The sequence below is a fragment of the Homo sapiens genome, chromosome 12, assembly GCF_000001405.40.
Source record: "Homo sapiens chromosome 12, GRCh38.p14 Primary Assembly".
Lineage (NCBI taxonomy): Eukaryota > Metazoa > Chordata > Mammalia > Primates > Hominidae > Homo > Homo sapiens.
In genome coordinates this window covers 62928902-62941726 of record NC_000012.12, presented here as the reverse complement: position 1 = coordinate 62941726, position 12825 = coordinate 62928902, and the positions used below count along the sequence as shown (strand labels likewise).

Below are 12825 nucleotides of genomic sequence, written 5' to 3'. Positions count from 1 at the left end.
TATTTGCCATGACACTCCACTGTGTTTTGGTTTTGGAAAGATAAACCTAAAAATATTTACAGGTAAGCATAAAAAGCCTCTCTAATTTGATTCAAAATACGGTTGATGACAAAAAGGACAAAGCAACTAATTCTGCATTTCAACATATTCTAGACAGCTGCCATATCTACTGGCATAGAGCAACACTGATCCTTTGAGAGAATAAAAAGCAATTTGAGTTTATAGTTCTTAGCTAAGAAGCTGTCTTCAGTTACTTGATTTCTGAACTTGTTCAAACCACATGCACTACTCTAAGCAAATGATGATTTTTCTATTCAGTAAACAAGTTTCATTGGATATTTTACTAAAGCCACTATTATCTGGAAAAAAAAATCATGATAGTAGTGATTTATCATGGCAGAAGATCAGGGGAACAAATAATATTAAAAGAGAAGTTAATATGACAAGGCTTGGGAACAGTTTAGTAATATTATAATCTTTTTTTAAAAGATACTTTCCAGTTGAACAGAATTTAGAATTTCTGTTCAACTTTAGCATGACCCAGACAGCTCCCAACTCAGAAACAAGTTGTAGCTAAAAACCTCACTGAAAACTAATTGCTTTAGAATTTGGAACAATTTCCAAATGACAGGATTATACTTAAAACAATCCATCTAAGGTTGCCAAGGGATTGTTTTAATTTCAGAATCACAGAGGCCTTTAAAAACAACCATAACTGAGGTTACCAGATCTTTGCTTGAAAAAGGTAGGGAAAAAATATTTTGTGATGTAAACTTTCTATATGTTGTAATGTTAAAGAAAGTACCTAATGGGACTGCATTGCTTTGTTACTGCTGTGTTGTCTTGGGCAAGTCATTTATAAACCTCCCAGCTGTCTTCAATAGTAAAGTGGTAGTGTTGTTTAAGAGCAATAAAAACAATGTTTACCTTGGTGTTGATAGAGCATTGGAAACAATGTATGTAAATTCACTCATCACCCACAGTGCAGAGTGCTGTCATTGTGCTTATTACCTGTTTATTGATCATCTATTCTGTACCAAGAAGAATATTAAGAATATACATGTTATTCCATTAATTATCAAGATAATCCAATGAGGTAGGGATTGTTATCCTGGTTGTTATAAGCAAAGAACAGAGAAAAGAAATGGCTTAAAATTTAGATATTAAAAATTGATCTCTAAGGAAAAACAGATTTAACTAGAGAAGAGTGATAATACCAGCCCAACATTAGTTATAACATATTTACAACTATTATCTCACTGAACCTTGCAGCTATTCTGTGAGATAAGGATAACTATTTTTTTTCTACAATTCGCACATCAGTTACAAAACAGTAGTTTCAGTATAGGACAATGTGGACAGCGTAGGACATTTCCAAATGTTTCTAAATTAGGTGTTTATAATCTAGGGAATGACTGCATTTCATGGATGTAAAATCTGTGAATACTCTATAACTCTGTGCTCAGGAATTTGGTATAAATTTCTTGGTTCATAAGAAACTGTCACTTACAAGTAAATGGTTTTGTTTACTGAAGAGAAATACATGTATCCCCCGACCCCCAATAAATCAGGTGTTTCCAATCAGTACATTCCTGCATACAAAACTGGAATCCAAACTATCTCTGAAGCAAAACAAATTAGTGTTAACTGTTGTAACTTCATATCCTGGTTATGACATATATATATATCAGGCTATCAGTTTTGTGTGAAGGAAAGACCCACATGACTTGGTATCCATATTATTACCAATATGGATATTGACTGAAGTTAGCTAAGCCTTATCAGATACCATAGGTTAAGAAAGTTGGCCGGGCGCGGTGACTCATGCCTGTAATCCCAGCACTTTGGGAGGCCGAGGCGGGTGGATCACGAGGTCAGGAGATCGAGACCATCCTGGCTAACACAGTTAAACCCCGTCTCTACTAAAAATACAAACAATTAGCCGGGCGTGGTGGCGGGCACCTGTAGTCCCAGCTACTCGGGAGGCTGAGGCAGGAGAAAGGCGTGAACCCGGGAGGTGGAGCTTGCAGTGAGCCGAGATTGCGCCACTGCACTCTAGCCTGGGTGACAGAGCGAGACTCCATCTCAAAAAAAAAAAAAAAAAAAAAAAGAAAGAAAAGAAAGTTCTGTGTATAGACAACACAGATTTTAAGGGATTAAGTGAGAAAGATCTTAAAGAAAACGGAATAAAAACAACAGATTTGGTGATTCAAACAGAATAGTCTTTCTTCTCTGAATGGGATTTTTAAAAAGGATTAATTGCCCACCAAACCCTGTTACTTGTTAAGGATTAGGCAAAGTGCTGGAAATACAAAGATGAATAAGAATATTCTTTCCCTGCAGGATTTCACTGTCTAATGGGAAGATATATGTACTAATTAGAATACAAGGAAACTAGCACCATAACGGAGGTATGAGTCTCTAGCTGTGGGAGGGATGAGTCCTGGAAAGGCATCATTTGTCTTTCTTCTGGACTGATTTCCAAAGGAACATTTGCTCCCTACTTAAACCCAAAATCTCTCTGGTGTGTGTTTGTATTTTAATGTTTTTTTCCTGTATACCCTTTACCCAGCTTTCCTAATGTTAATGTCAAAACTAAGAAAATAACATTGGTACTACATTGCAGTTGTTGTAGCTCCATTGTCTTCAATCTGTGACAGTTCCTTAGTCTTTTTTGCCTTTCGGGACCTTGACACTTCTAACCATATCTGGTATTTGGTCAGGTACTTTCTAGAACATCTTCAGTTTGTGTGTGACCCATATTTTCCCATGAGCATACTGAGGTATAGGATTTGGGGGAAGAAGACCCATGTCAGGGGGTACTTAATGACTAGTGATGTCAACCTTGGTCATTGCATTAAGGTGATTTCTGCCAAGTTTTTTCACTGTAATTTATTGTTTCATCTTTTATAATTAATAAACATTTTGAGAGGATACCTGATGTTTTGACTGAAGAAATTATCCAGAGCTGCTGCTTCCCTTTTTTTTTTTTTTTTTTTTTTTTGAGACTGATTCTCACTCTATTGCCCAGGTTGGAGTGCAGTGGTGCGATCTCAGCTCACTGCAAGCTCCGCCTCCCGGGCTCAAGCGATTCTCCTGCCTCAGCCTCCGAGTAGCTGGGACTACAGGGGCCCGCCACCACGCCTGGCTAATTTTTTTGTATTTTTAGTATAGAGGGGGTTTCATCATGCTGGTTAGGCTGGTCGAACTCCTGACCTCAAATGATCCGCCCACCTCGGCCTCCCAAAGTGCTGGGATTACAGGCGTGAGCCACCGCGCCCAGCCACCGCCACCCTCCCCTCCCCCAGCCCCCTGTTCCTTTTTTTTTTTTTTTTTCTTTGAGACGGAGTCTTGCTGTGTCACCCAGGCGGGAGTGCAGTGGCGCGATCTCGGCTCACTGAAAGCTTCGCCTCCCGGGTTCATGCCATTCTCCTGCCTCAGCCTCCCAAGTAGCTGGGACTACAGGCGCCCGCCACCATGCCCGGCTAATTTTTTGTATTTTTAGTAGAGATGGGGTTTCACCGTGTTAGCCAGGATGGTCTCGATCTCCTGGCCTCGTGATCTGCCCGCCTCGGCCTCCCAAAGTGCTGGGATTACAGGCGTGAGCCACCGCGCCCGGCCCTCTTTTTTTAAGTCTTACTAATGGCATAGTGTTATTTAATATTCAAAACTATAGTATTATAGACCTAGAAATGAGATTATGTTGATATACAGAGCATCTAAATATAAGGTCTATGTATCTATCTCTTAAATGAATAAGTCTTCAAACCCACATTTTCCAAGAGAAAAAAAAACACAAGAGAAAATGAAGGGTATCTATTGATGTCTAACAAACACATTGAGGGTCTCTCAGTACCTGATCAATGCCCCTTTTGAATTTAGTAACACAGATACTCTCAGAACCTATGAGTACAATAGGTGTGAAAAGCATATAATTTTAGAGGTCCCTCTAAGAGGGATGACCACCCCCATTTTAATCAGAAATTTCATTTCCGTCTTTTACTATAGAAGTATTTGAAAGAGAACAGGTATAGAATTTCTGTTTTTCTACTGTTTGCAGGGCAACGTTTGCTAGCAAAGCTAATGACATACCAAGACTTTCTCATTACAGGTAATAATTAGGTTATGGAAAAATAGTAGAATAATTTCTTACAGAACACTAGTTCTGTAAGTGTTACAGTTCACAAGTCTTGCTAATGTTGCCAAATTTAATCTTGCTAAATATCCTATTTGAGAAAAATTTTAGAAGCCTACCAAAAATACTAACAGTAGTTATCCCCTGGGGAATTCTTTTGGAGTCTTTTACATTTTTATTTACAGTTCTGTATATTTGAATTTTATATATTAATTATTTACCATGAACTGTTACCATGTTTAAATTGAAAATAAATCACACAAGAACAATTTCAAATTCCTATTTCAAATAAATACTAAAGCTTTCCAATAAAGTGAAATGAATGGAAGACCATATTAAATGCAACTAAAATGGTCGGGCGCAGGTGGCTCACGCCTCTAATCCCTGCACTTTGGGAGGCTGAGGCGGGCGGATCACGAGGTCAGCAGTTCGAGACCAGTCTGGCCAACATGGTGAAACCCCATCTCTACTAAAAATACAAAAAATTAGCTGGGCGTGGTGGTGGATGCCTATAATCCCAGCTATTCGGGAGGCTGAGGCAGGAGAATTGTTTGAACCGAGAGGCAGAGGTTGCAGTAAGCCGAGATCACGCCACTGCACTCCAGCCTGGGTGATAAGAGCGAAACTCCATTTCAAAAAAAATCAACTAAAAAAATGTTTATTTACTGGAATATCTGAGAGACAATTATAAAGGTAGTTGTTCTACAACAAAAGTTTTCTTAAAAAGACGATTCTAAGCTTATATTAGACTCAATGGATACCAGAGAATGTGGTATGTTCGATGTTTCACCACCACCCATATAATCAGAGATTTCCCATTCAGGAGTTTGCGGTTTAACCAAGCAAAGGATAAGAAGACATATCTTGCATCATTTAAAACACTGCACAAAATAAGAAGAAAAGGAGCTAAGATAAAATTACATTTATATTTTGTAAAAAGTGATTTAAAAACTTCATTGATAGGAGTGGCATTTCACTGAAAGTTTAAAATACTGCCATCTTTTACATAATTATTTGGTACCTAGTAAATTAGAATATCTATACATGAAAAAGTTAAAGGGGGAAATGTCTTTTAAAAAGAATATTATAGATACTGAAGAAAAGACATCTGTGAGGCTTATCCAGGCCTCACCTAACAGCAAGAACTCCTTGACTCACAATTCCTCTTCAAAGAATTGGCTTCTCCTTCAACACCTGGGCCACTCTCCTTCCCAAACACTGACTGAGAAGAACGAGGGCCTGTATTCTCCGTTGAATTCAGAGCAAGCTGTTTGGTGCATAACTGCGTAAGTAACACCGAATTCTGGCAAATTAAATAGGTAAACATGAACAGGATACACGTTCTATTGCAAAGTTTCCCCTCCCCCTAAAAAGCCAATATTTAAGAAATGTTAGCCTTGATGAAGTATTCAGTTTTTAAGATGTGTTTTCTAACATATGATCACCAAAAATGTTTTATCATTATAAGTATTTATTCATTTTTACTTTAGCATTTGAGTTGCTATGTTCTACTTAAGCTTCTTTCGTTTTATAAGTGCCCTTAGATAATTTTGCAACAATGTTCTGAATTAAAAAAAATTCAAATACGACTGCATTTAAGTGTCTAGATAGTAAACAAGGTAAGCTTTGAAAAGATACTTTTGTTCCTAAGTTGGAGGAAAATGCATTTATTTGTCTAGATAGTAAACGAGGTAAGCTTTGAAAAGATACTTTTGTTGCTACGTTGGAGGATAATGCTTGTATAAATTTATTTAACAATTAAATACTAATGGTCCCTGTTTCTTTTTCTTTTAGGCTAGTCAAGTGAAGCAGCGGGAGTGGAGAAAGAACAAAGAAATCTGTAACTGGTTGTGATCAATTAATTGTAAATACCACTGCCCTCAGACCAGCCTCTGATTTCTTAAGAGATCTTTTTTCTTGTGTATTAAGCTTATTCTGGGTTCGAAATAAGGTTTGCTCCATAGATAATGATGCATATAGTGGTAATAAAAAGAAAAGTAAATCGACAAATACCTAGGGAAAAACTTTTAATAATTCTCATGCAATCCGTATAGGCTTGTTTATTTTTAAGCCCTGGAAAGTCTCTTACACCCAGTGACTGCTGGTTTCCACCGCAGGACTTAGAAGCTTCCCACCCTGATTGCACCTGTCTCCCCTTTCCCCTCCTGCTCCCAAAGTTTCCTTTCTGGAGGGTGAAGGCAGCATTCCTCAGGAGTGGATTCTTCAATCCTTTTCCCGGCTGCCCGGCTCCACGTGACAGCCGCTAACACCTGTACCGCCTCCAGCTCACAGCGCCCCCATCCCCTCCGCCAGGTACCGACTCAGCCGGTCTCCCCCTCCCCCAGGAGGTCACGATCCCGGTGCGAGTCTCGCTTGGGCCGGCAGGGGAGGGGCTGAGCAACGGCCACCGCAGCAGCCTGAGCCCTTGCAGCCTGATTATCACATGACCCGGCGGCAGTAGCCGTGGCAGCAGCCGCGGCGGCTCCGCGAGCTCGCCGGGTGGGCTCAGTTCAGCGCACGCCGGAGCCGAGCGCAGGGGGCGGGGAAGGGACCTGCTGCAGCTGCAGCCGCCTGGGCGCTCCTGGAGCGCGCGGTGACTCCCCCGGTCGGCCCGCTCCATGCAGCTCCGTTGCGGAAGTGTAGCGGGGGGAGGCGGCGGCCACCGCGGCACTAAGCACGAGAGGCCGGGGCTCGGCCCCCTGCAGCACTAGGCTCTGGGAGCCGCGCGCGGCGCGTCCCAGTGGCCCGACTCGCCGTGCGCCCGGCGCCCACCGCAGCCTGCATGCCCCGCGCTGCGCCTTGCCCGGCCCCCGCCGCCTCCTGCTCGCACCGCTGCAGCCGGGCGCCGGAGTAATATGCTCACTCGAGTGAAATCTGCCGTGGCCAATTTCATGGGCGGCATCATGGCTGGCAGCTCAGGCTCCGAGCACGGCGGCGGCAGCTGCGGAGGCTCGGACCTGCCCCTGCGTTTCCCCTACGGGCGGCCAGAGTTCCTGGGGCTGTCTCAGGACGAGGTGGAGTGCAGCGCCGACCACATCGCCCGCCCCATCCTCATCCTCAAGGAGACTCGGCGGCTGCCCTGGGCCACTGGCTACGCAGAGTGAGTGCAGCGACACCGGCGGCGCCCCTGCTCTCCTCGCGGCCCTTCCCCGCACGGTTCCAGCCCTCTTCTCTCCCTGCTTCTCGGCCTCAGGGCTCTCACTAGCTGCCGGCGTCCAGGCCTCGGCGGGGAGCTCTTTACTTACACTGGCCATTTCCCTCTTCTCCCCACTCCCTCTTCCCCCAGCCCAAGGACGCGGCGTCTCCAGCCCCGGTATGGGTGGTGGAGGGGTGGGTGGCAGCGCTGGAGCGTGGGAAAGCTAAGGTGAGACAGGTCTGTGAATCCGGGGTCTCTGTCACTTGGGGAAAAAAAACGGGCAGAAAAGCTCTGAAGTTTGAAACACATAAGGAAAATCTGCTATCTGTACCCCCACCCTCCCAAAATATAGTTGACGCCCCCGCGTGATGAAGAGTTTATGGGGGTGGAGGCTTGGAGGAGATGTCACTGCGCCTGGGAGCTTGTGTCCGATTCCGGGAGGTGGCCGTGTCCGAGTGCGTGGTTGTACATTTCCGAAGGTCTCAGTTTCTCTCACTTTCAGCCCGCGAGTTCCTCCGCTTCTCCTTTAGCAGGTAGTAAAATGCTGCGCTTTCGGTAAATGCCAGTACTATTTCCCTCAGCCCTTGGGGAGGGGGAAACTTATTCCAACTGTCTAATATAACATTTTGGTAATCCGCTTTGGTGATTAAGCTTGCGTTTGACTGATCAGCTATTTCAGGAACCGACTGAGTTAGGTTGACGACCCAGAGTGGAATCGGGAAAGGAGAGGTGGAGGATTTTATTGCCCTTCCCCCAGCTCCATGGCCACTTTTCCACTGACTATTAATAACCATCTTATGAATGGTAAGATAAGTAACGTTTTCCCTTCTATCTACTACCTCAGCTGTACGAAACGGGAAAACTAGGAGACATTTAGAATAGAATTCAAGGTTATTAATGAACCAGGGAGTGCAAAAGTGCACGCAAAACCTGGTGGCTGGCACACCTGCGCCTTTTCCTTTAACCCCATCCCCTCGGTAGTTTTGGCCCTCCCCTATCCGTGCACGGCCTCGCTGGTTGATTGGTTCGTCCGGGAACCAATCAGCTCTTCCAATGCCTGGGCGCCTTGATGCTGACCCTGTTCTGGTGGCCCGGATACCCCGGGGCAGGCTTGGTTCCCGACCCTAAGGGTTCCGGTGGGAGAGACTGCTTGGAATCTGCTCTGCTTATTATCTCTAATTCTCCTTTCCTTCTCCCATCATCCTATAAAGCGTTTCTCCATGGGCTGAAATGGAAAACGTGTATAAATGGGGCTAGACGATTGGAGTGTGAAAGTGAGGAGGCAGAAATGCGCTTTGATGGGAGCTCAGACAGTAAAAATTAACACATCATAAAAGATGAGCACGGAAGAGAACGTTGTGGGTGGCGAAGGTACAAAATAGCATTGTAACTTCCAAGAGAAAGCCAAAGCAAAAATAAACACCTGTGTAAGGAAAGACCTAAAGGAGAAAAAAGAGCCTGCCAAACATACCAAACACTATTTCTTGACTGAAATAAAAACGTTATTTAAAAGCCCATTTAGGCCGGGCGCGGTGGTTCACGCCTGTAATCGCAGCACTTTGGGAGGCCGAGGCGGGCGGATCACGTGAGGTCAGGAGTTCGAGACCAGCCTGAATAACATGGAGAAACCCTGTCTCTACTAAAAATACAAAAATTAGCCGGGCGTGGTGGCGCATGCCTGTAATCCCAGCTACTCGGGAGGCTGAGGCGGGAGAATCGCTTGAACCCGGGAGGCAGAGATGGCAGTGAGCCAAGATCGCGCCATTGCACTCCAGCCTGGGCAACAAGAGCGAAACTCCTTCTCAAAAAAAAAAAAAAAAAAAAAAAGCCCATTTGGACCCTTTACGAGACAGCAACTTGGAGGCATACCCTGTGGTATAATTGTGTAGATGGGGGTCCTTGTGACTGCCAAACGCCTGAGATCTGTCCCCACTCCAGTGAGTTTCCCAGGGCGAGGGCGCCTGTCAAGGCGAGAAGGAAAAGCAGGCAATGGTGAGAAAGTTATGAGAGGTAGGAAAGAAGATACTGAAACACTGAAGGTGGAAGCCGTTTGGACACAGTAAAAGGAAAGCCTCAGATAAGCATGAGGGAAAGGAAAGAACGAATTTCAGAGTGTTTGCATGCCTATGGTAGGCACAGGATGCAATGAGACACGCATGAGAGAGTGCTTAGAGGGCTCCCCCCATCCTCTCTGGGCCTCCATTTCCGCATCCCTAAAAAGTTAATTTTTTTTTCCTAGAATAAAACATGAGAGATATTCAACTTGAAGCCTAGGAAGGCCACTGTAAAATGTTACAAATTTTAAAGTTAGTGGCAAAAATAATACATGTGTGATAATTCAAGCAAAGACCTATTTAAAAAAAAAAAAAAAAAGTCAGCCCCTCTTCCCCAGCCCTCACCTACTCCCTAGGAGTAATGAGGGTTCAATGTTTGGGTGATATTTGGCTTTCAGACTTCTTTGGATGCCCTCATAAATACATATCATGCGTTTCTTTTTTCTTCTCAAAATAGACTCATACTAAGCATATTATTCTGTAGCATTTTCACAAAACACTATGTCATTAACAGTATTCATAAGTAAACACAGAATTACCTCATTCTTCTTAAATATATACTATTGGTAATGGCTAACATAGTTAATGCTTACTCTTTAGTGCTTATACTGTTTTATATCATCTGATTTTCATAAAAGCCTAATGAGGTAGGCACTATCATTTCCATATTATAGTTGAGAATACAGAAGCACTGAGTGATTAAGCAACTTGCCCAGGGTCAAGCCTGTGTGTGAACCCAGGCAGTCTGACTCCAGAGCTCGCAACACCAAACTCGTTCTCTACAGTAGATTAAATTATGATGTATTCATCTGTACCCAGGAATAGCCACTAAAGTCTTGGCCATCTCTCTCTTCTCACCTTTAACCCTGTCAGATAATATACTGTACCGCTTCCTTATATCTTGAACTGTTAGTTTATCTTCCTGCAAAAATGCATCCTGAATGATCAAAATGGCTGAAATAGGGAAGGAAAGAGAAAGACAAGTAGGGACTGTGGCTGTGATCAGAAGCTGCCACCAGTAATGCTGCCCTTTCCTACAGGATTTACTGGGAGAAGAAATTCTGTTCTCTTTGTACTAGAAGGTACCTGAGAGGGGTTGAATAGGTAGGAAGATTGCTCAAATTGTGGTGATAAGAACTGTACTAAGGAGCTAATGCCTGAATCAGAAGTGATCTGTTTACCTCTCTAGAAAGTGAGTCACGTTCCAAGCCTTCCTTGGGAGGAAAAATTGACATCTTTTGGTCAATGAGTTAATGTTGATGACTGACCCTTTGAGATGGTAGAAAAATTAAGGAGAAATGGTCTAATCTTTTGCCACTTACTGTTAATCCCTTTCAAGAAGAGAGACTCTATAGGCTATAGAACTAGAGAATTAGCCGTAAGCAATCCCTGCTAGACTTGAGGTTGCAGAAACTGAAGATTTTCGTTCATTTCAGTATTCATTGGCATTGTCCTAGATGGAATTTCCCAGCTCTTGAAAAGCTTCCTATTACAGCTGAAAAGTTTAGCCACTTGGCTAAGGGGTATTTGCAAGGTTGTAAAGCTCTGTAAAGCATTGTAGTTATAGATAACATCTACTAAGCTAAAATCTTTCTAAAAACATGCATTAGCAAGTTTTAAGTTTGGCTTTGAAATCAGTGGCTGAGCCTGTTTGGTTTGCTCATTTGATAAAGCCCTTGGGGAGCAACAGTCTGACCCAGAGACCAGGCGGCAGCTACTTCCTTTCTCTCAAATACCACCCAAGTGGAGGTTGGTTCATTTTTATAATGGGTTGGGAACCCATTTTGGCTTTTTTTCTTTTTTTACCTGTTTGCCCGATTTTTATCCTGTTGATGAAACAGTTGGTCTTAGAGATGCCAGCAGGCATGGAATTTGTGCCTGAAACTACAGACGTAGGGAATGCCAAAGAATGTGTTGTGGTTTTGAGCAACAATATTGTGTATGTTAATGCATCATATTCAGGTTTTTATCAGTGATACATTTGTTTACTTGTACAGAAAGAATACATTAAGTATAGCTAATTTTACTTCGGTTATAGCTATAACTATAAATTTTTTTTCCTATTTCTTATAAAAGTACCCCTGGACATAAGTAGAAACAAAAGCTACTTTGAGAGTGTCTGTTAAATGTATATCATATAAGTGTATGTCTCACAGAGTTGAAAATTATGAAATTTTTGATGGAATAACCTTATTTAAATCCAGCCAGCTGCCTACAGGTATTTGGATTTGTTTTGGACTCTGCAGGCTGTCTGTCTCCTTGGTCATTGGCACTAATTGCTTATTACCAATAAATGGCATTAGTTGGCTGGGTGGTGGTGAAGACACAAAAACCGCTATTTCTTTCTTGCCCCAAAGCTCGGAAATCCCCTGGCCTTTCTTTTTCCCTTCTAACTTTTCCTGGCATACCTGCCCCTCTTACTGACTGATACCTCTTTGCAGAACTCCTGCTTGGAAACTTCCTGTTTGACTTTTGCAACTGAAGAAACTTGAGGTTCTCTACTCTTATGTAAGGATAAAAAGGAGTGGGTGAGGGTATCTGCAGATGAGTTACAAGTCCAGAGTAGCCTGAGCTATTTCAGCTACCTTTCTGGTGACTTGCAAAAGGTATTAATTTCCTATTTTAAAGCAGACAGCTAAGCGTTCCTTCATATTTCAGATATAGCATTATAAAGAAATCATCCCCCTTAGGTGGAGCTCCTGGGGATGTCTCTTTTCTTAGGAAAATGCATCAGCTTCTTTCAAGGACTGGTGATGCTTCAGGCAAAGGGTTTAACCATGCAGGGGGGTGTTTACTATATGTTTCAGTCCCAGTTTAGGTAGACATCCGCATCTCTGCTATGACCCCACTATACAGTGCTTTCAATTAAGGTTACAGCAGTACTAGTTGAAAATGTAAAACTGCATACTGGAATTGTTGTCTAAAAATACATTAATGTTCAAGAGTTATTTTTAATTCTCAATGTTTGGTAGAAATAAACTCTGGTGCCTTTATAGTTCTGTGATTTGCCTAATTTAAAGGGAGGATTAGTTAGCTTGTCCCCTTGAATTTTTGCTATCATTTTTCAGGAAATAATCATTCATCTGCTTCCATTATTTCTCTCAATTGATGAAATCATTGCACTCCTACTATGTGTCCAGCATTGGTCCCATGCTGGATTCATAATATAATAAGACATAGTCATTATCCTCAAGAAAATTTTATAGCATAATCTTTCCCCTTTTGTACTTTCTTTGAAATTAAATTAAAATGAAATAGACTATTAAGGTTCAAAGGGACCAGCACCAGGAGTTTTGTTTTGATTTTAATGTCTTAATGCTTCTGGGTAATTTTAAATCTCAGTATTTGGAGCCTTTAAGTCACATTAGGGAAGCAAACTTGTTTTTTCCAACCAGCTTATGATTAGCTTTGTACCTGAAGGCCCAAGACCTTCCCTGCTGTTAGAGAAAAAAAATTATTCTGACACTTGTTACAATGCTGGGGAAGACTTTACTCAAGTC

General features: G+C 42.5%; 1 protein-coding gene across 3 annotated transcripts in view, besides 3 other annotated features; it reads left to right on the top strand.

Annotated features, from left to right (window-relative positions):
• Positions 467-636: an enhancer, noted in NCBI's record as "experimental_30791 CRE fragment used in MPRA reporter constructs". NCBI's record gives its function as "activates a minimal promoter by MPRAs in K562 erythroleukemia cells, with activity observed for the non-introgressed 12:63334956 variant allele {active_cell/tissue: K562}" and the evidence as "EXISTENCE:reporter gene assay evidence [ECO:0000049][PMID:34662402]".
• Positions 6535-6594: a silencer, noted in NCBI's record as "silent region_4611". NCBI's record gives its function as "represses an Ori minimal core promoter by ATAC-STARR-seq in GM12878 lymphoblastoid cells {active_cell/tissue: GM12878}" and the evidence as "EXISTENCE:reporter gene assay evidence [ECO:0000049][PMID:35858748]".
• PPM1H (protein phosphatase, Mg2+/Mn2+ dependent 1H) overlaps positions 6577-12825 on the top strand; it is a 291157-nt gene continuing 284908 nt past the window's right edge. For 2 of the 3 annotated variants that reach the window (NM_020700.2, XM_017019676.3), the window contains exon 1: positions 6577-7235. In NM_020700.2, coding sequence (NP_065751.1) covers positions 6991-7235 — 245 coding nt within the window. In that variant the 5' untranslated portion in view covers positions 6577-6990. Of the gene's footprint in view, positions 7236-7273; positions 7805-12825 lie in introns of those variants that run through there. The other variant, XM_011538578.3, reaches the window with a different exon arrangement.
• Positions 6867-7368: an enhancer, noted in NCBI's record as "H3K27ac hESC enhancer chr12:63328139-63328640 (GRCh37/hg19 assembly coordinates)". NCBI's record gives its function as "activates a minimal SCP1, AML or CMV promoter by ChIP-STARR-seq in naive H9 embryonic stem cells {active_cell/tissue: H9 hESC(naive)}" and the evidence as "EXISTENCE:reporter gene assay evidence [ECO:0000049][PMID:30033119]".